At 37.2% G+C, this 22,000-nt stretch overlaps 1 long non-coding RNA gene across 1 annotated transcript in view; it reads right to left on the bottom strand.

The window, feature by feature from the left end:
- Positions 1-21,221, bottom strand: part of LOC105371356 (uncharacterized) — a 49,125-nt gene extending 27,904 nt beyond the window's left edge. Inside the window, exons 1-2 of the long non-coding RNA XR_001752268.2 lie at positions 20,974-21,221; positions 9,547-9,672 (exon numbers count right to left, since the gene is read on the bottom strand). This is a non-coding gene — a long non-coding RNA (uncharacterized LOC105371356). The remainder of the gene's footprint in view (positions 1-9,546; positions 9,673-20,973) is intronic.
- Positions 21,222-22,000: the final 779 nt, after the last annotated feature.

The raw sequence follows: 22,000 nt of genomic DNA, 5'->3' as shown, positions 1-22,000 counted from the left end.
ATTGTGAGATTTTGGGCTTGGTAATAATGGTTGCTAAAGATTCTTCCAGTGGTAGCTTCTAGATGGTTATCCAGTTGGAAAACCTGGTTTGGAGACTTGAATGCAATTACCTAAAACTGTATTTTAACTTTCCGGTGATCATTAATGCACTGGGGAAAGAGTTACAAAGGCAATAAGTTACTTTTTTTTTTTTTTATACTTCAAGTTTTAGGGTACATGTGCACATTGTGCAGGTTAGTTACATATGTATACATGTGCCATGCTGGTGCGCTGCACCCACTAACTCGTCATCTAGCATTAGGTATATCTCCCAATGCTATCCCTCCCCCCTACCCCCACCCCACCACAGTCCCCAGAGTGTGATATTCCCCTTCCTGTGTCCATGTGATCTCATTGTTCAATTCCCACCTATGAGTGAGAATATGCGGTGTTTGGTTTTTTGTTCTTGAGATAGTTTACTGAGAATGATGATTTCCAATTTCATCCATGTCCCTACAAAGGACATGAACTCATCATTTTTTATGGCTGCATAGTATTCCATGGTGTATTAAAGACTTAAACGTTAGACCTAAAACCATAAAAACCCTAGAAGAAAACCTAGGCATTACCATTCAGGACATAGGCATGGGCAAGGACTTCATGTCCAAAACACCAAAAGCAATGGCAACAAAAGACAAAATTGACAAATGGGATCTAATTAAACTAAAGAGCTTCTGCACAGCAAAAGAAACTACCATCAGAGTGAACAGGCAGCCTACAAAATGGGAGAAAATTTTCGCAACCTACTCATCTGACAAAGGGCTAATATCCAGAATCTACAATGAACTCAAACAAATTTACAAGAAAAAAACAAACAACCCCATCAAAAAGTGGGCGAAGGACATGAACAGACACTTCTCAAAAGAAGACATTTATGCAGCCAAAAAACACATGAAAAAATGCTCATCATCACTGGCCATCAGAGAAATGCAAATCAAAACCACTATGAGATACCATCTCACACCAGTTAGAATGGCAATCATTAAAAAGTCAGGAAACAACAGGTGCTGGAGAGGATGTGGAGAAATAGGAACACTTTTACACTGTTGGTGGGACTGTAAACTAGTTCAACCATTGTGGAAGTCAGTGTGTCGATTCCTCAGGGATCTAGAACTAGAAATACCATTTGACCCAGCCATCCCATTACTGGGTATATATATACCCAAATGACTATAAATCATGCTGCTATAAAGACACATGCACATGTATGTTTATTGAGGCATTATTCACAATGGCAATAAGTTACTTTAACTCATCCCATGTTTCCTGGTCTGTATTGTAGCACATTTGTGGCCTTAGATTACCTGAACCCTTTAAGTCTTTTTTTTTTTTTTTTTTTTTTTTTTTTTTGAGATGGAGTCTCGCTCTGTCTCCTAGGCTGGAGTGCAGTGGCGCGATCTCGGCTCACTGCAAGCTCTGCCTCCCAGGTTCACGCCATTCTCCTGACTCAGCCTCCGGAGCAGCTGGGACTACAGGCGCCCGCCACTATGCCCAGCTAATTTTTTTTGTATTTTTTGTAGAGACGGCGTTTCGCTGTGTTAGCCAGGATGGTCTCTATCGCCTGACCTCGTGATCCGCCCGCCTGGGCCTCCCAAAGTGCTGGGATTACAGGCATGAGCCACCGCGCCTAGCCGTCATATTTATGATCTTTAAACTTTAGGGAAGCTGAGGGCAAAGGAAAATTTTCACCCTCAGAGGAACAGACTTCCTTTTTCTAATGTTGTAAATTACTAGGTCCAATGCTTCGTTTCCTGAGTAAGGGATGGTTGCAAGTTAAGGAACTTATAAAAGCTCTGGCCTTCCGGGGCATCTCTCATCCTTTGACACTTTTTAAATCTTAATTTTCGAAATCCTTAGTCCAAGTAGTCACCGCCAAGCCTGGCCTCCCCTCTTCCGCTTGCAGAGGGGGCCGCATGAATTCTTTGGAAAACTGTTTCTCTGGGGTCCATCTAGACCTTTACAGACTGAATGCAGAAAAGAAGAATTTACTATAAGAATGTGTCCTTCTGAGTTGGACTAGAGTACAAAATATTACCACGAAACTCAGCTGAACCATTTGATTCACTGGCAAATATTTAGGTAAGTTGCTCTGTGCCTCAGCTTCCCCATTTGAAAATGTGACAAGCAGCATCTTCTATGCAAAATGATTGTCAGGATTAAAATTAACTTATGTGTATGAAGCATTTAGCACATGCTTGACAAGTTTTGGATGCCAATTAAATGATGGCTATTATCTTTACTATTGTTATTTAATTTTCATTTTTTCTCAATTATTAAAGAGATGATACCTATTGTACAAAAATTAAAAGTATTGAAAAGTGCAAAGAGTCAAATCAAATAGAAAATCACCCATAATCACTTCACCTAGAAGCAACTAATTCAACATTTTGGCATATCCCTATTCCACTCATATGTTTGACAGCATTTTAGATACAAACTATTGAAACTAATAGGAGGGTGCCATACAAAAATCAATTGTGTTCTTATTTATCTGACATCACATAATTACAAAATGTATTTATTAAATCGGGTGTGATTTATAATGGCAACCCAAATGTGTAGAGAAAAAAACTAACGAAAATGTACACTTTCTGTGGAAAAAAATAGAATATGTTACCTTACGTCATAAAAAAAATCAGTATCTGAAGATGTAGATCATAGTTATGGGTGATCAGATTATAAACTGACAGTTCTTCCCAAATGAATCAATATTTAAATTCAAAGTAATTCCTATAAAATCCCAACAAGGAACTTGAGAAGATAATACTAAAATTTCACATGAGAGATAAAAGAGGCTGTAATAAAGAAAATTTTGAATAAGTAGAAAAAACCAAGGGACTTACCAGGTATCAAGGTAAGTCATCATTATAAGGTGAAAATACAGACCAATGAGATTGAATAGGAAACTCCAAAACAGATCCAAGCATTTATGGAAATGTAACATAGAATATAATGGCCATAGAAATCAGCAAAGGGAAAGTGAACTACATAATCAATAGTCCTGGTGCAGCTGGTTTTCCAAAAGAAGATAAATAGAACCAATCACTTTCTCACTCCATGCACAAAAAATTATTCCAAATGGATTAAGACCTAAATGTGAAAATCAGAACCAAAAATGTAGTGGAATATGTAGAAGAGTATTATCTTTATGCCTCGTAATAGTAGAGTTCTCAACCATTGCTCAAGTGCATTATTATTTCTTTAAAGAAAATTAATGATAACTTTGCCTTTATTAAAATTTGAAAATTCCATACAACAAGATAAAACAAAGCCAAAAGGCCTCAGAGAAGATATCAGCAATCCACTATCTAAGGGCTGATATACGGAATATCTTACAACTAATAAAGAAATGCAAAGAAGGCAATAATAAAATGAGCAAAATTTATGAATGGACAAGTGTTAGAACAGAAAACCCAAAAGACTAATGCGTGAGTGAAAAGATGACCAGTCTCACTAATAACAAAGAAAATCAACACTAAGATACCATTCCACACACATAAGATAGTTTAGAATTGAAAAGTCTAACAATACCAAGTGTTGGCAAGAATGCAGAACAAAGAAAATTCTCATACTTTCTTGTTCAGTGTGTAAATTTTTAAAATCATTTGGGAGAGTAGTTTTGCAAAATCTAGCAAAATTAAAGATAGGCATAACTGAGACCCAGCAACTCCCAGGAATATGCCCTGGAGAAAGCTTTGTACATATGTATGATGTGCAGGTACTGGAATGTGTAGTGCTATAACCTAAGATGTTCATAATAGCCAAAAATGGAAAGCCCTGTAGACGTGCATCAATAGGAGAATAGATACATTAATTGCATATTTATGCAGTGAAATACTCCTAAGCAGATAAATCAACTAGAAATATATACCTATCAAAATGAATTGATCTGCCAAACATAATAGTACATAGAAAAAGAAGACTATAGGAAGTTGTTGGTTATGTAAAATTTCAAATATAAAAACAACACTATTATGTTGTTTATGGGTATTTCTATATTTAGTAAAAGTATAAAATTATGAATTAGATTAATAATCAGCAAATTCAGGGTAGTTGCTTCTGAGAAGAGACTGAGAAAAACAGAATGAGAAATTCAGTGGATTTCAACTGTCTGTAATAATGAATCATTTAGGAAAAAAATGAATGTGAATATGGCAGAGAAAAACATTTTAACAAAGTTGAGTGATGAATGCACTGGCTAAGTTATATCATTGTCTGCATTTTTCTATATACTTTAAAGATTTCATAATATGACAAATATTTTTAAAGCTTATAACTAATACCTATTGCAACTGCAGTTAAAGGAATAAAACCTAACTGTTCACAAATATGCCAAATGAAAAGCACATTGGTAAAAAAAAAATAGTAATAATAAATAAAGGTCTGGAAGAGGAGTAACTTCCCAGGGAGGGAACTGCTAAATGGAAAAGTTGAGTTTTTCTTCTTGACTGGCTGATATCTTCTGGAATTTTCTTGTATTAAGTGTCAAGCCATTTGTACTCGGTACCATGATGTGGGGAAACCTGGAGCCACAGGCATCCATGCATTCTGCATTTCCCCCACCGGCACCACAACCAAACACAAAACAAAAACATTTGGACCATGACCAGCAAAGCCAGCATGCACCAGGTAAGAGGTAAAAATGCAAAATATACCATGGTGTGACCCATGTTTGCTCAGTGAGATCTGGCTCTGAACTTCCCTGAAGTCAAAACAAAGAGGAAAGCATGGCCAATCCCAAGATTTGCAGCATCCAACTGGCAAAATCAAAGGGCTTATCAGGAGAAGTACAAACATTTCAGGAGATTAGAGCCCCAAAGAAAATTCTCCCTTGTTATGATAAAGATAAATAGAAAATGAGAAACAAAGCCACCTATCCAAGAAATAGCTTAAACACTGAGCACTGAATCTGCTCCAACAATACACACAACTTACTGTCTACACTGCGTGACTTGTATGATAATGCATACATTATCATGACTTTCCTGTGCCGTTGTCTTCACTAATGACTTCACTACTCAAGAGGACTTTTGTCCAGGCATTGATTGTTCATTACAGGAACTTCCCCAAAGACCTAGCCACTCTTCCCTTGAAAGCATCAACAGACAACTGGGGCCCTAAGAGCCTTTGAATCTTTATTGTTTCCCCAATACTTTAGGTAGAAAGAGGATACAGAATGGGTGCTGGTATCTGTTACTAGGTAACAAGTGTCTTCCACAATTTTAAATTGTATTACTCATATCAACAATTGGCATTCAGTGGGTCCTAAAGATTTTGCATTTATTATCTCATTTAATCATTAAAACATCTCTAAATGCTTGGTACTGATATTTTTCCCATTTTACAGATATAGGAAAGCCAAGGCTCAGACAGATTAAGTAACTGGTCCAATGTCAGATAGGCAGTAACTATCAGAATCAGGACTTGAATTGGATCTGTGTGCCTTCAGTGTCTCAGTTCTATAACCAATATGCTTTACTGTTTCTGTTGGAAAAAATCAAGTCTATACCACCAACAACTGGTTGATTCTAGACTCCATAAAAGGAAAAGGCATGGCCCTTTCTCCATCTTGAAAACTAGTTCCATGAGATAGCTATTCTGAATCTGACCCTGTAGTTCTCTGGGCTTTGTGACTAGCCAATGCCCCTCTTTAACACAGCCCCCTCTCTCCCACTCCATCCCAAGAAGAAAGCATGGCCTTTGTGATATAAGCTCCTGGAGCCCCCTCCATGAAAGCAGTGCTGGGTCCACAGACCCAGCCCAGGGACCATTTGGCGGGCTGAGCCATGTGGTCATGGGCCAAGGTTCACACAGGAGTGCAGAGTGATTTGCAGTCAGTTGGGAGTGATTACACAGTGTTTCTCATCGATAGGCAGGAGGGAGCCTTGATGGGATAATGAGATGCAGCTGATGGAAAATCACAGCTGACTGTCGCCAGTGAGCAAGCTCGCACAGCCCTACAGTGCTGCAGTCGAGTCCTCCCCACTGCAAAGAGCAGGAGAAAAATCTGTGGAATTTTAATACTAAGCCACCCCACAGTGCCAAGGGAAATTGACTGGAGGGTCCACCAGTTGAGTAGCAGATAATTGGGTAAGAACAGGATAGAGGGGATTCCTCTGGACAAACCACAAACCCTGCCAGGATAGGGCTCCAAATAGCTTTCCTAAAAAGAGAGAGCAGCAATGCACAGGCAGCCCCTGGGAAAGGGCTAAAATGCAGGGTACTAACGCATGGGGCCCCTTTATCTTGCCTGGCCCCAGCAAAACAAAAAGAGTTTCTTTGCCTCCGTGCATTACCTGTGCAGGGTTAGAAACTGCCAAGGAGTGTTTTCCTCACTGTGCTCAATGAGAGAATCTGTTTAAGCTATGTTTCCATAGATCAGTTCACTAAGGGCCAACTTGAGCCCTGTTTACCCTCCTGTAGTCAACGAAAGACAGCTGTTTGCTTAAATTGAGGTCTCCTTCTTCCATGACAGTCATTACTGCCTCCCCAGTTAGAGATAATAAGCTTGAATTTCCCAAGCAGATGTGAGTTGCTCAAGTCTTGACTATTCTTGTAAAGGCCATCCAAAACCCAGAGTGATGTTCTCGAGGAAGGTACTATAAGACTAAATCTTCATTACCATTCCCAATGGACGTACAAAGAGGTCCCTAATAAATAAACTTGCTGAGTGGACAACTCTGGCCCAGACCTTTAACCCCATTTCCTCACATAGCATTTCTATCGCCTACATTTAGGCTGCGTTGCCCCTGAGCAACTCACTGGACTCATTCATAAGAAAGGAGGTGGAATTTGGCCAATCAGTGCTTGGCTAGTGATTGCCTAAATAAACAAATAGTGCAGTTAGTTAAAATGAGTCAAACCCTTGGTTAACCCATTCAGTTTTGTTTTGTTAAGAACTTACAATATTACTTTTTTAAATTAAAGACTTTTTTTATTGTGAGAAAACTGTACATTCAAAAGCAGTTGTAAGAAATAATGCAAAGAGATTCCATGTAGACTTTACCTCGTTTTCCCCAATGGTAACATCTTGCAAAATTATAGGGTCAAATCACAACCAGGATATCGACATTGATACAATTCATTGATTCTCAGATATGCCTTGTTTCGCTCATTTGTTTTATGCAATTTTGTCTTACAGGTAGGTTCCAGCATCCAGCACCATGGTCAAGGTAGGGAAGAGTTCCATCACCACAAGCATGCCTTGGGTGCCTTTTTTTAACCCTCCTCCCTGACCCATCCCTAACCCCTGGCAACCATTAATCTGTGTTCTGTTTCTATAATTTTCTCACTTTAAGAATTCTATATCAATGGAATTGTAGAGTATGTATTATTTCAGAATTGACTACGTTTTCACTTAGCATCATTATCTGGATTCATCCAAGTCGTTGCGTGTATCCATAGCTCATATCTTTTTATTGCTGAGTAGTACTCCATACTATGGATGTACCACAGTTTATTTAACCATTCACTTGCTGAAGAACATCTGGGTTACTTCTGGTTTGGGGCTCTTTTGAATGCAGTTGTTTTGAATATCCACGTTAGGTTTTTGTGTAAACATATATTTTCATTTTTCTGGGATAAATATCCCAGAGAATAATGGTGCGGTCATATGACAATTACATAGTTAATTGTATAAGAAATTGCCAGACTGCTTTTCAGAATGGCATGGCCGCGTTACATTCCCACCAGAAATGTGTCAGTGATCCAGTTTCTCTGCATGCTCACTACCTTTTGGTGTTGTCACTATTTTTAATCTTAGCCATTCTGATAGGTGTGTAATGATATTTCACTGTGGTTTTAATTTTTACTTACCTAAGGGCCACTGATGTTCAACATCTTTTAATGTGTTTATTTGCCATCTGTACACCCTCTTCAGTGAAATGTTTATTCATATATTTTGTGAATTTCCAAATTGGAATTGGATAGCTTGGCTTTTTTTTTTTTTTTTTTTTTACTGCTGACCCATCCCACTTTTCCATTTATTGCTAGAGACAGAAACTAAAATCCGTGGCTTCAGGCTGCTAAAAGCCGAAAACAAAACAAAACAGAACAACAACGACAACAACAACAAAATAAGGTGTGTTGGAAAAGCTTGCATGAGTTTACATATATCCTCTCACTTAATGATCACAATCCTGTGAGTTAATTTGTGTTTCCTTTCTTATGTTACTGTAAGGAAAAAAGCTTGGAGAAATTGTGTGCCCAGGGCCACAGAACAAGAAAGTTGCAGAGATGGAAACCCAGGTATCTTGACACTATAATTTGTCCTCAAATGCCTGTATTATAATGTCTACGTGTGTATTGTTTAAATTATTTGACAACATGAAGTCATGTCTTTTGTAATCACACGCAAGAAAATATTGCTGAAAATAACTTAATCTTGTAAACCTGTAAAAGAAGAGATATGTCCTCTCTTTGACTAGCTTAGCTGCAATGTCAATTTACCATCTGTGGGGGTGAGTCTGTGGTCTATGTACAGCCTATGGGAATGTTCCCTTTAGGACATTTTGCCCATAAACGAACTTCTAAAATTTCTTGAATATTCTAATGACTTACAGTCTCTAAAAAGAAATCTTTTTTTTTAAGTATATAATTTTTTTCCTTAAAATGGATTTGGCTGCTTTCTAATAGCTCCTGAGAATTAAATGGTCTCTACAATGTCTCCTCCATATTCCAAATAAACAAGTCAAAGCCCGAAAGCCCTGTGGTGGGACATGACCCAAACACACAAGTCTTTATGGCCTAAAGTCACCTTGCCAGAATGCACTGAAAGACAAACAGAGAGCATTCTTTAAATATTTCTAGTTTAAGAAAAAAAAAAAAAAACCTTATTTTTTTTAAACTAACAAGCCCCTAGAAAGAAAATAGTAAATAAATGAAAAAGTAAATCGTAAATAAAATGTACATTAATTAAAATAAGTAAGTATTCGCTTGACAAAAAACATCTCCAGTAACCCAAAATCCTGCAAATGAAAGAAGTGGGGGAGTGGGGGCTTGGCATAAATATTCCAGAGCTCTTCCTCAGTCTCTTTATTTCATACTTTTCTGATCCGCTGACACCTCCCCACATACTCAAACCTCTACAAAAAAAAAAAACACTAAAAATTAAAAAAATAAAAATAATAAAAATAAGTATGATTATTTTTCTAAGGGCTGTTCATTCTACCCTGGAAATATTTCTTCTATTACTAACATCCTTTCTGTTGTGATGACCACTAACTTAGTTGGGCTCATGTCGCTCGTTTCCTTCTGGATTCTTCTAACAATCTTCTCCTAACTCCAGTTTCTTTCTTCTTCAACCCATCTTACCCAGACTGCCATATTAACTGTCACAAAACACAGCTCAAAGACCTTCAGTGGCTCCCCACCACCTGCTGATGCAAGTATAAACTCTGCAATTTGGAATTTAAGGATATTGAAATAATTATTTCAATCTAACTTTCCCTACTTTTTCTCCCACCTTCATTCTGTCCAACCTGGGGGGAGAACCATTTCCAAGCTGACCTTGCTATCTCTGTGCCTTTCTTCTAGCTGAGCCTTTAGCCTGTGCTGTCCTCAGGGAACATGTGGCCATTCACTGCCTTCTTCAAAGCCATCAGAGCCCCTCCTCCGTAGGATTTTCCTTTTCTCCTATAAGTCAAGACCTGGAACATTAGCTAATGGTAATCCTCAGTTTAGCATAGCTGCCTGCAAAGATAAGCATTCTGAAGGCGCTCTTAGTCTAATCTTAACAATGATATGAGTTAGGCAGCGGTGTGCTGGTAAATGTTTAACAACTGGTTCTTGGGGGAAGAGAGGGAGACAGTAAATGCATATATTTGCATACATACATTTATTGTAACTGTTGTTGATATAAAGGACACAAAGCCCCCTTACAAATAATAATGAAATATTCAATACTCCTTTTTGTAAATTCCGTATAGCCCCTCGATTCTTAAGGAATATTTTGTTGTTTTTTGGTCAAATAATTATATCTATAGCCAAACTGTGGTTGCAAAGGACAAGTGAGGATAATTCCAGCATAAATATTTGTTGATAATTTTGTTTTCATTAGTGAGTAAGATGAAAGTGAAATGTGAAATGCTGGAACTTCACTTACTTATTAATGACATGAGTGAATTCTTTGCTAGCTTAGATAATAGCGATGAAATACTGAAATAATATTTGCTCAAGTTGTTATTTGAAATACTATATTCTTAAAGTAATAGTTGCAGACACTACACAATTTTATGGTTAATTTGCATCATTAACATCATTTCTAACACTTACTTAAGTCTAGAGAATCAAAATAGCAATGAAGCCCTGATTTGCCTATTTCCATGGTGTAAATATTTCCATCAGCACTGATGTCAAGCTACTAACCTGGCATTACTGAACATGGAGGCAAGAAAAGATGCACAGCAGCTCCCTATTACATAATATTTCTACTATACAGATATAATAGATGTAAATAAACCAAAGAATATAGGTACATGTAAAATAGTTAGAAAGTTTTAAGTCTTGAGGATTTATTACCTTTGTTTTAATGTGATTGATTTAATGATAAATTTGTATAATGTAATCCTTAATTATGACAGTGCTTAATAATTGGCCTGAACATTTTCTGAAAATTTTAACAATCAGCTCTCATATTCCAGCACAAGCCAGCCCCAGCATCTCACTGGAATGAGAGATTATTAATGTCCATTTTACTGATGAGGAAACGGTTCTGTAGTCCAAACACAAATGTGTCGATTGAGCAAATAAATCTATATGAATCAAAATTATTTCACCAGTGCTCCAGCAACCTGAGATCCTGCTCATATTTATCTTCTTGATCTCTGTATCAGTGGGCCCAGCACGGCAACTGGCTCAGGGGCAGAGCTCGATCGATTCTTGTCAACCTTGCCCTTCCTTCCCTATTCAGCTGTTTATAAAGAAGGCTGACCTACAAACTTATTTTGGTGAGAGCATAGGAAAGATCTATTCTTGAGCAGTGAAACACAACTAGCTTACCCCACTCCATTTTCCAGGTCTGACCTAGCTCTGTGACCTCAGCCCGCCACTGCACTCTAAAGCTCAAAATGGAAACCACGTGATACAAACAGAATAAGAGAATAATTACAAAAGGCTTTTTGTAAACTGTAGAGTACTGCATTCTAGGGATTTGTTCTTTTGAAAGAAGAGAACCCATGGTAGAGGTGGGAAGAAAGGTTTTCTCACTTCTCTATAGGTATCCATATCTCTTACTAAAAAATATATTGACTCTGGACAAGATGGGAGAAGCCCTCCCACTATAAGCAACTATAACAGTAGACAAAAAATATATGAAATAATTATCTCCAAGCACTGTTGCAAGCAGCAGTGCAGGATTCCATTGGCTTTCCACCTGGACACACTTTTTTGTAATGTAAACTAGGGAGAAGGATCTAGAGCAGTACAATCTAGCTCAGCTGGGGAGACTGAGATGAGAGTTTGGGGTCATGATGTTTTTGTAACATGACATTACAAAATTATGTATACATTAGATATTTATTCTGGATTCAAGATAGACCAATGTATTTTAACATGACATAGTATGAAAAGTTTATTGATATGGTTTCAGATTCTGCATTGCAACTAATCTCACTAATTTTTTGATGATACAGTTGCTTTTCATAAAAACATATTTTTTATGTGTAATGGGGTTTATAATTGCCATTTTAAATAACTTAATAAACATTTACAATTTTCAGTTCTAATTTATAATATTTTCAACATAGATAAATACAATGCACTTGAAGGGCCACAAGACAACAGTATTTGACAAGGGCTTCCCTAGAGTCAAGGTTATTCTAGACCTCTAATGGAGTTTAAAAGAAGGGTTGAAAGGATTGCACTGACCTGAAAGTAAGTTAACTGCCTAATAGGACAAAATTCAACACTTTATTAAGATTTTATTAGGAATGATTAGGAAATTCAGACACTCAAAATTTAGTATCCATACAATCCAATATCCAACCAAAAATTACTAGACATTTGAAGAACCAAAAATATGTGGTCCATATCTAGGAGAAAATTCAGTCCACAGAAACAGACCCCAACAAAATGACAGAGATAATAAAATTAGCAAAAGAAGAATTTAAAAGAGTCACTATAAATATGTTTGTATTTAGGATTCTCCAGAGAAACAGAACCAACAGTGTAGAGTTTTATTATGATGGATTGGCTCACGTGAGTAGGAAGGGTGAGAAGCCCCACAATCTGCCATCTGCAAGCTGGAACCCCATGAAAGCCTGATGGTCTAGTTTCAGTCCGAACTTGAAGGCCTGAGAACCAGGGGAACCAAGAGTGTGTCCCAGCCAGAGTCCAAAGGATGAAGAACCAGGAGGTCCAGTGTCCAAGGGCAGGAGAAGATGGATGTCCCAGCTCAGGAATAGAGACCAAATTCACCCTTCCTCCGACTTTCTACTCAGGCTCTCAACAGACTGAGCGATGCCCAACTGTATTATGATGTCAATCTTCTTTATTCAGTTGACTGATTCAAATGCTAATATCTTCCAGAAATACACTGAGAGACACGTAGAAAAATGTTTTACCAGCCAACTGGGCATTCTTTGGCTGAGTCAAATTGACATGGCCATGCATGGTGGCTCATGCCTGTAATCCCAGCACTTTGGGAGACCGAGGCAGGCAGATCACTTGAGGCCAGAAGTTCAAGACCAGCCTGGCCAACATGGTGAAACCCTGTCTCCAATAAAAATACAAAAAAATTAGCCAGGTGTGGTGGCATGCACCTGTCGTCCCAGCTAATCAGGAGGCTGAGGCAGGAGAATCACTTGAACCTGGGAGGAGGAGGTTGCAGTGAGCCAAGATCACACCATTGACCTCCAGCCTGTGCAACAGAGTGAGACTCCGTCTCAAAAAAATACAAACAAACAAACAACAAAAAAAATTGACACGTAAAATTAGCAATCACAATGTTCACAAGTATAAAGGAAAAGAATAATGTAGAGGAAACATAAGGAATCTCAAGAAAGAAGTAGGCCGGGCGCCATGGCTCACACCCGTAATCCTAGCACTTTGGGAGACTGAGGTGGACGAATTGCTTGAGCCCAGGAGTTCAAGACCAACCTGGACAATATGGTGAAACCTCATCTCTACAAAAAAATAAATTAGCCAGGCATAGTGGTGTGCACCTGTGACCTGTGGTCCCAGACACTTGGGAAGCTGAAGCAGGATCATATGAACCAGGAGGTTGAGTGTATTGTGAGCCAAGCTCATGACGCTGCACTCCAGCCTGGGCGATAGAGTGAGATCTTGTCAAAAATAAGAAGGAGAAGGAGAAAGAGAAGAAATAGAGGCTATAAGAAAAAAATAGAAATTCTGTAATTTGAAAATACAGTATCTAGAATTTGAAAATACAGTATCTAAAAATCTAGAATTTGAAAATACGGTATCTAAATTTCACTAGTTAAATTGCTAGATGGCTTAATAACAGACTGAACACTGCAGAAGAAATGATGAGAAACTTTAACACAGAACAATACAAACTATCCAACATAAGGACAATAGGAAACAAAGCTGGAAACAAAATGGAACAAATTTTCAGTGACTTGTGGGACTGTATCATGCAGTCTAATATACATGTGACTAAAGCAGCAGTAGGAGAGAAGAGATTGGAGCAGAAAATACATGGAAAAATAATGATGGAAGTTTTTCAAAGTTTTTAACGTTCACTAAACTTTAAGCAGGATAGCCAAAGACACACACACACATACACACACACACACACACACACACACACCCTAACCAAGACACATCATAGTCAAATTGCTAAAATCCATGATACAAAGAAAATTTTAAAAGCACCAGAAGAGGAAGAGTTAAAACAATGGGCCGGGCGCAGTGGCTCACGCCTATAATCCCAGCACTTTGGGAGGCCGAGGTGGGCGGATCACGAGGTCAGGAGATGGAGACCATCCTGGCTAACAAGATGAAACTCCGTCTCTACTAAAAAATGCAAAAATTAGCCGGGCGTGGTGGCGGGTGCCTGTAGTCCCAGCCACTAGGGAGGCCGAGGCAGGAAAATGGCGTGAACCCAGGAGGCAGAGCTTGCAGTGAGCCGAGATCGTGCCACTGTACTCCAGCCTGGGCGAAAGAGCGAGACTCCGTCTCAAAAAAAAAAAAAAAAAAAAAAAAACAAAAACAAAAAAAACCGAAAATACACACTATATAAGAAAAACAATAAGAATATCCAAAGTATTTGTAAAAAAAAAATGCAAACTAAAACATAATAAAATGATGTCATTAAAAGGCTGAAAGAAAAAAAAATTTCGACCTAGAATTCCATATTCAGTTAAAATACTCATTAACGATTAAAGAAACGACAACAACAAAAATTTCAGACAAATGCAAAGTCCGATAATTTTTCATCAGAAGGCCTGCACTCTAAGAATATTAATGAAAATGTTTCAGGCTGAAGGAAAGTGACATTAGACAGGAACTGTGTTATGAATAAAGGAATGAACAGTGTAATTCTATAGGTAGATATAAATAAAATACTTTTATTATTTTTTAATGTAATTTAAGGCTTAAAATTGACAACAATATATTTCAGTATTATCACAGATTTAGAAGTAAAACATACAACAATAATAACAAATAGTGGAAGGGGATAACAAAAATAAACTGTGCTAAAGTTCTTACATTTACATCAAGTTTTGTAATAGTATTTGAAGGTATGCAATGATAAATTATACATGTATACTGCAAATATAAGGAGAGGAACCTCAATAAATATATATATACACATATATGTATGTACATATGTCTACATACATACACATGGAAATTAATAAATAAAACACTGAGATACAGATAATAAACCAATACAGAATACAAGGTAGAATACTAAAAAAAAATCTGAAAAAAGTACTCATTTTATCCAAAGAATGACAAAAAAGAGAAGGAAAGAAACAAATAGAAACAAATATCAAGGTGGCAGGCTTAAACCCAAGCATACCAATTCTACACAGAATGTAAATGGGTTCAGCACTCCAAATGAAAAATAAAATTTAACAGACTAGATGGAAAAGAAAGACACAACTATATGTTTTTTCACTAAAGATACATTTTATATATAACGACATAAGCAAGTTAAATATAAAATAATAAAAATAATATGCCCTACAGCTAGGAATTGTAAGAAAGCTGGAGTGGCTATATTGATGTGAGACTAAGTAGATGCTAGGACAAGAAATTTTTCCAAACATGAAGAAAGGTATTTTATGTCAATCAATAGGTCAGTTTACTAAGAAGACATAACAATCCTAAATCTGTGTGCTCCTAATGACAGAGCTTCAAAATACTTGAAGCAAAAATGACAGCACTGAGTGAGAAATGAACAAATTCACGATTATAGATGAAGATTAATAAAGGCATGTAGACAGAAAAATCAGTTTAGCCTATCAGTGAAATTGACTTAGTATTTATAGAACACTGTATCCAACAACTTCAAAATATATAGTATTTTCAAGTAGGCGTGGAATAGTTCTAATACAAGGTATGTGTGTTGGGGCACGAAACAAGTCTCAATGAATTTTTCATAATTAAAATCTTACAGAGTATTTCTGTGGCCAAAGGAATTAAACTAGAAGTCAATTACCAAAAAATCTGGAAAATCCACAAATATCTTGAAATCAAACAACACTCTTGAAAATAATGCATAGGTCAAAAAAGAAACATAAGGGAAATCAGAAAATAATTAGAACTGAACAAAAAGAGATCACAACCCATCAAAATTTGTGGGATGCAACTAAAGCAGTGTTTTTTGTTTGATTGTTTGTTTGTTTTGAGATGGAGTCTCGCTCTTGTCACCCCGACTGGAGTGCAGTGGCTCCATCTTGGCTCACTCCAGCCTCCATCTCCCAGGTTCAAGTGATTCTCCTGCCTCAGCTTCCTGAGTAGGTGGGATTACAGGCACACACACCACACCTGGCTAATTTTTGTATTTTTAGTAGAGTGAGGGTTTCACCATGTTGTCCAGGTTGGTCTTGAATTCCTGACCTCATGTGATCCTCCCGCCTCGGCCTCTGAAAGTGCTGGGATTACAGGCATGAGCCACCGCACCTGGCCTAAAGCAGTGGTATAAATAAATTTTTTTAACTTTTATTTTAGTTTCACGTATACATGTGCAGGTTTGTTCTATAGATAAACTGCCTGTCACAGGGGTTTTGTGTACACGTGATTTGTCACCCAGGTAATAAGCGTAGGACCCAAACAAGCGTAGTTGTTTGATCCTCACCCACCTCCCACTGTCCAACCTCAAGTAGGGCTGGTGGCTATTATTCCCGTCTTTACGTCCATGTGTACCCAATGTTTAACTCCGGCTTATAAGTTAGAACATGCCATGTTTGGTTTCTGTTCCTGCTTTGGTTCACGTAGCAGAATGGCCTCCAGCTCTATCTATGGTGCTGCGAAAAACATTATCTCATTTGTTTTTATGGCAGCATAGTATAGGAGGAAATTTATAGCTTTAGGTATTTCTATTAACATAAAAGAAAGATTTAAAAGTGTGGACCTAAATTTCCACTATAAGAAACTAGAAAAATAATAGCAAATTATACCTAAACTATTCAGAAAAAAGGCAATAATAGAAAGAGTGGAAATAAATGAAAAAAATGGATAAACAACAGATAAAAATCAAGGAAACAAAAGATTGGTTCCTTGAAAATATTAATAAAATTCATAAACCCCTAATTCCACTAGTCAAGAAAAAAAGAGTAATCATTTACTAGCAATATAAAGAATGAAAACACTATAAACACTACCAACATTAAAAAGATAATAAAGGAATATTGAAAGAGCTTTATACCAATACCAAGACCTATTTCTTAAAATACACAAATTATTAAAACTGATAGAAGAAGAAATAGAAGTTTCAAATATTCTACATCTATTAAAGAATTTCAATTCATAAACACCTATCACAAAAAAAAATCAGGTTCAAATGGCTTCCCTGGTAAATTTTATTAGGCTTGCAAGGAAGAAATAATGCTACTCCTACATAAATTCTTTCAGAAAACAAAGGAAGAAGGAAAAATTTTTACCTCATTTTATGAAGACAACATAACCCTGATAGCAAAACCAGACAGACATTATAAGAAAAAAAAAATCTTCATTAACATAGGTTGAAAAACAAAAACCTTTAACAGAATACCAGGAAATGGAACTTGACAGTATTTTGGCAACCAAGAGGATAATATATCATGATCAAGTTCAATTTGTTTTAAGAATGTAAGGTAGGTTTAATACTTGAAAATACAATACACCACATTAACAGAATATAAGAGAAAAATTATATAATTATCACAGTGAATGCACACTTTAACAATGTGTAAAACCTGTTAGTGACAGAAATTCTTAGCATAGTAGGAGTTGAAGGAAATGTTCTCAATCTAATAAAAGGAATCTATGGAAAATACTATAGCTAACATTCTACTTAAAATAAAAGATTAAGTACTTTTTCCCTAAGGTCAGGAATAAGGTAAAGATGTCTTTCCTCATAAATTTTATTCAACGTTTTACTGGAGGTCCTAGACAGTGCCATAAGACAAGAAAAATAAAAGCCAAATATATTAGGAAGGAAGAAGTAGATCTACCTTTATTAGCTGATGACATCATCCTGTATGTAGAAAATCATAAAGAATGTAACAAAGTGCTACCAGAGTGAATAAATAAATTCATTGAGGTCACAGGATACAGTCAATATAGAAAAATAAATTATGTTTCCATATGTTCACAGAAATCAATCTTAAAATAACATTTTTAAAAATTTTTCAATAACACAAAAATATAAGTAATATCACAGAATATAAAATACTTATTGGAAAAACATATCAATATAACAGAATAGAAAATTCAGAAATAGACCCAGACTTAAATGGTTAGTAGATTTTTCAACAATGGACCAAAGCCATTTATTGGGGAAGGAATTTATCTATATATAAAATAGATGAAACTTGACTTATATCTCACACCATATTCAAAAATTAATTTCAGATGGTCCATGGGCCTCAATGTAAAAGATAAAAGTAAAAATCTTCTATATTGAATCTCAGAGAATTTTTTCACATCATTAAAGTGATCAAAAGTTTCTTAGGAGACAAAAAGTACCTACCATGAAGGAAAAATAACATGGCAAAAATGGACTTCATTAAAATTAAGCATACCTACCTTTCAACATACAACATTATAAAGTGCATATTAAGACATACACGTTGAGAAAATAGTCAAAAGACTGATACTCGGCAAGGCGTAGTGGCTCACGCCTGTAATTCCAGCACTTTGGGAGGCCTAGGCATGTGGATCACCTGAGGTCAGGAGTTTGAGGCCAGCCTGGCCAACATCATGAAACTCCATCTCTCCTAAAAATAAGAAAATTAGCTGGGCGTGATGGTGGGCACCTGTAATCTCAGCTATCGGGAGGCTGAGGCAGGAGAATCGCTTAACCCCAGGAGGCGGAGGTTGCAGTGAGCTGAGATGACGCCACTGCACTCCAGCCTGGGCAACAGAATGAGACACTGTCTCAAAAAAAAAAAAAAAAAAAAAAAAAAAAGACTGATACTCAAAATATATGAATGTATAAACAACCCTTAAACCTCAATATCTGAAAGATAAATGACTCAGCTTCTTTAATGAACAGGAAACTCAAACCAGAACTTAATTTTAAAAATACTCAAATGGTCAAAGGCACACGAAAAAGTGTTCAACATTAGTCATCAGGAAAATATAAATAAAACCATGAGATAGTGTCATGCACTGACTAGAATGGCTGAAACAAAAGAGATTGACAGCGCCAGATGTTGCTGTGGACCTGGAAGGAGTGCAAAATGGTAGGATCAGTTGGAAACCAGTCCAGCAATATCATAAAAGTAAACATACGCCTACACCAGGACCCAGCAATACCAGTTTTATTGTGCACCCAAAAGAGATGAAAGCATATGTACATAAAAAGACTCGTACAAGAATATTTACAGAAGCTTCACCAACAATAATAAATAACTATACAGAGTTCAGATGTCCATCAAAAGGAAATGAATAAACAATTAGTGACATATACATACAATGGAATACCATACAACAATAACATGTAATAAACTATGAAACATGCCACAACATGAATACACCTCAAATACTGAACAGAAGCAGCCAGATATGAAGCAGTACTCTGTATGATCCCATTCAACTGAAGTTTTGAATAGGCGAAACTAATCTCTGATGAAAAAAAATATGGCTTAAGTCATTTTTCTTCTTACCACCAAGAATGCCAATGTAAAACCCTTAAATACACACACGCACACACACACACACCCCACAACCTTCCGACAGATGATACCAAATGTGACTTAGACTTCTCCTTCACTGAGATGCAGAAATTTGATTTTTCCCCCTGCTAGTACAGAATCCTATGTACTCAAGAATGCAAACTGTAAATCAATACCTATGACTTAAAGGTGACATTTCAACAATTGTACATCCTGGAGCCTCTCAGGATCTCAGGATCATTTTGTTCCTGTCAAATATCTAACTTTTTAAATAATTTATGAGCATTTAACTCCACTTCTTACAATTCCAGGATGAACTTTCTTCATTTTAGATGTGTATGTTGTCATTCAAAGAGCCAGTTATTTATTCATTAAATATTATTGAACAAGTACTATGTGCCAGGCACTAACTATATTGTGCAGTGTGGATATAATAGTGGAAAAGGCAGTCACAACCTAGACCTGAAGCTTACATGGGGAGGAAGAGAGAATAAACATCAACTTAGGGGTTGTACCGATAGTTGTTCTTTTTTTTGTTTGTCTGAGACAGGGTTTCACTCTGTCACCCAGATTGTAGTGCAGTGGTGTGATCTCTGCTCACTGCAACCTCTGCTTCTTGGGCTCGAGTGATTCTCCAGCCTCAGCCTCCCAAGTAGCTGGGACTACAGGTGTGTGCCACCAACGCTCAGCTAATTTTTGTAGAGACAGGGTTTTACCATGTTGCCCAGGCTGGTCTCGAACTCCTGAGCTCAAAGCAATCGGTCCGCCTCAGCCTCGCAAAGTGCCGGGATTACAGGTGTGAGCCTGTGCCAGACCTAATTGTTAAATTGTAATTGTAATGATTGTTAAAAATAAAAAGAATTGGACAGCGTAGGCTTCTTATGTGAACATTTACCAAGAAGGCATGATCTTGTCTTAGATGAATGGAGTCAGAATAGAGATCAAGGAGTGCTTCCTGGAGGAAGAAGCTTTTGAGTTGGGCTTTAAGTGTGAACAAAAATGTATTTGGAGGGTGCTAATATTTAAGATGCCATGAGAAAACCCCACATTGAGGAAAGCAGAGATACAGTCTGATGAAACTAGCAAGGTCTGTAATAAGCAGGGCTGTGTTAAGAATTTTGGCTTGATCAATAAATAAAATCAGTGGGGAAGCTATTAAGGAATTTGCACTATGCAGGGATATGACCGTCTGGTTACAGTGTGTAGAATAGACAGGAAAGTATGGGTACAAGCAGTGGGGAGACCAGATTGAAGACAATAATAATAAACAAGTGTTCCTATTAATTTCCAAGGAGAGACGTGCTCTGAAGTCCATAGACTATCAAGATAGAGCTAATTTGGGACTTAGATAGTCCTACTGTGAAGAATTAGCAAATACATGGCACTGCTTTGTGGACAAAAATCAGAAATCTAACAGGTTTAGCAGAAAAAGTGAAAGAAGAGTGAGAAGAAGAGGATATAAGAATAAACAGACCCAAGAAGATGGCCTCAGAAGACAAACACCTGGGATAAGCTATGTGCCAGTTTTTCTTTTTAATTTTTATTTAGATTTAGCAATTAATAAGAGCTCATTCTGCCTCAAAAGTGCACCAAGGGCTTTATATTTATCACAGAACTGGAGGTTTAGGGAGGTAGAGTAACTTACTCAGGGTTACAAAATCTGTAGGTGGCAGAGACAAAACTTGAACCAAGGGCTTTCTAGTGTGAAATGTTGACTCCTCACACTACATGATGGTCCTCTTTAATGGTTACCTCCTGCCCTTGGAGTTCTCCATTACTCCAAGCCCATTATGTTTGGAACGATTCTGAGTTCTTCTATACTTCACCATGGATACATGAACCTTAGCCCTAATGGAGCCTTAGAAATTGGCCGGGCGCGGTGGCTCACGCCTGTAATCCCAGCACTTTGGGAGGCCGAGGCGGGCGGATCACTTGAGGTCAGGAGATCGAGATCATCCTGGCTAATGCAGTGAAACCCCTTCTCTGCTAAAAATACAAAAAATTAGCCAGGTGTGGTGGTGGGCGCCTGTAGTCCCAGCTACTCAGGAGGCTGAGGCAGGAGAATGGCATAAACCCGGAAGGCCGAGCTTGCAGTGAGCCGAGATCCAGCCAACAGTGCGAGACTCCATCTCAAAAAAAAAAAGAAAAAGAAAAAGAAAAAAAGAAAAGAAAAAAAAAGAAATTAAGTAGATCAATCCCCTAATTTTATAAAAGGATAATGTGAGATTTAGGGAGATGCTGGTTTCCGCCCAGGGCCCCTCAACAAATATTGGCAAGTGAGGTACAGAACCCGTAGTCTTCCATTAAACCATACTATTTATTCAGCTGATCCATCCTCTTTATAGATTTGGGGATTTGGCAAACCCCAAATTATACTGTTTGTAAGTCATACTGAGCCTGGGCTAGCCTGATAGAGAAGGGCACTTCTCAAGCACTGGTCTGTAAACAGAGTAAACATCAAAATGACTTGGAGAAAAGGAGGTTTAAGTCTAGACAATTATTTTGTTTAGTTCCCTTCTCCAGTGGGAGGAAGAAGTATTGCTTTATATATATAAACATATTTATATATATACATATATATAACATATAAACATATATATGTTATATAATATATATATAATGCTGAACATTTTAGAACTTGTAGCTGTACTCATTGTTTGTTCATATTCCTC

The sequence above is a fragment of the Homo sapiens genome, chromosome 16 (assembly GCF_000001405.40).
Source record: "Homo sapiens chromosome 16, GRCh38.p14 Primary Assembly".
Lineage (NCBI taxonomy): Eukaryota > Metazoa > Chordata > Mammalia > Primates > Hominidae > Homo > Homo sapiens.
Note: the sequence above shows the minus strand (reverse complement) of the source record. Positions and strands in the feature narration are given on the sequence as shown.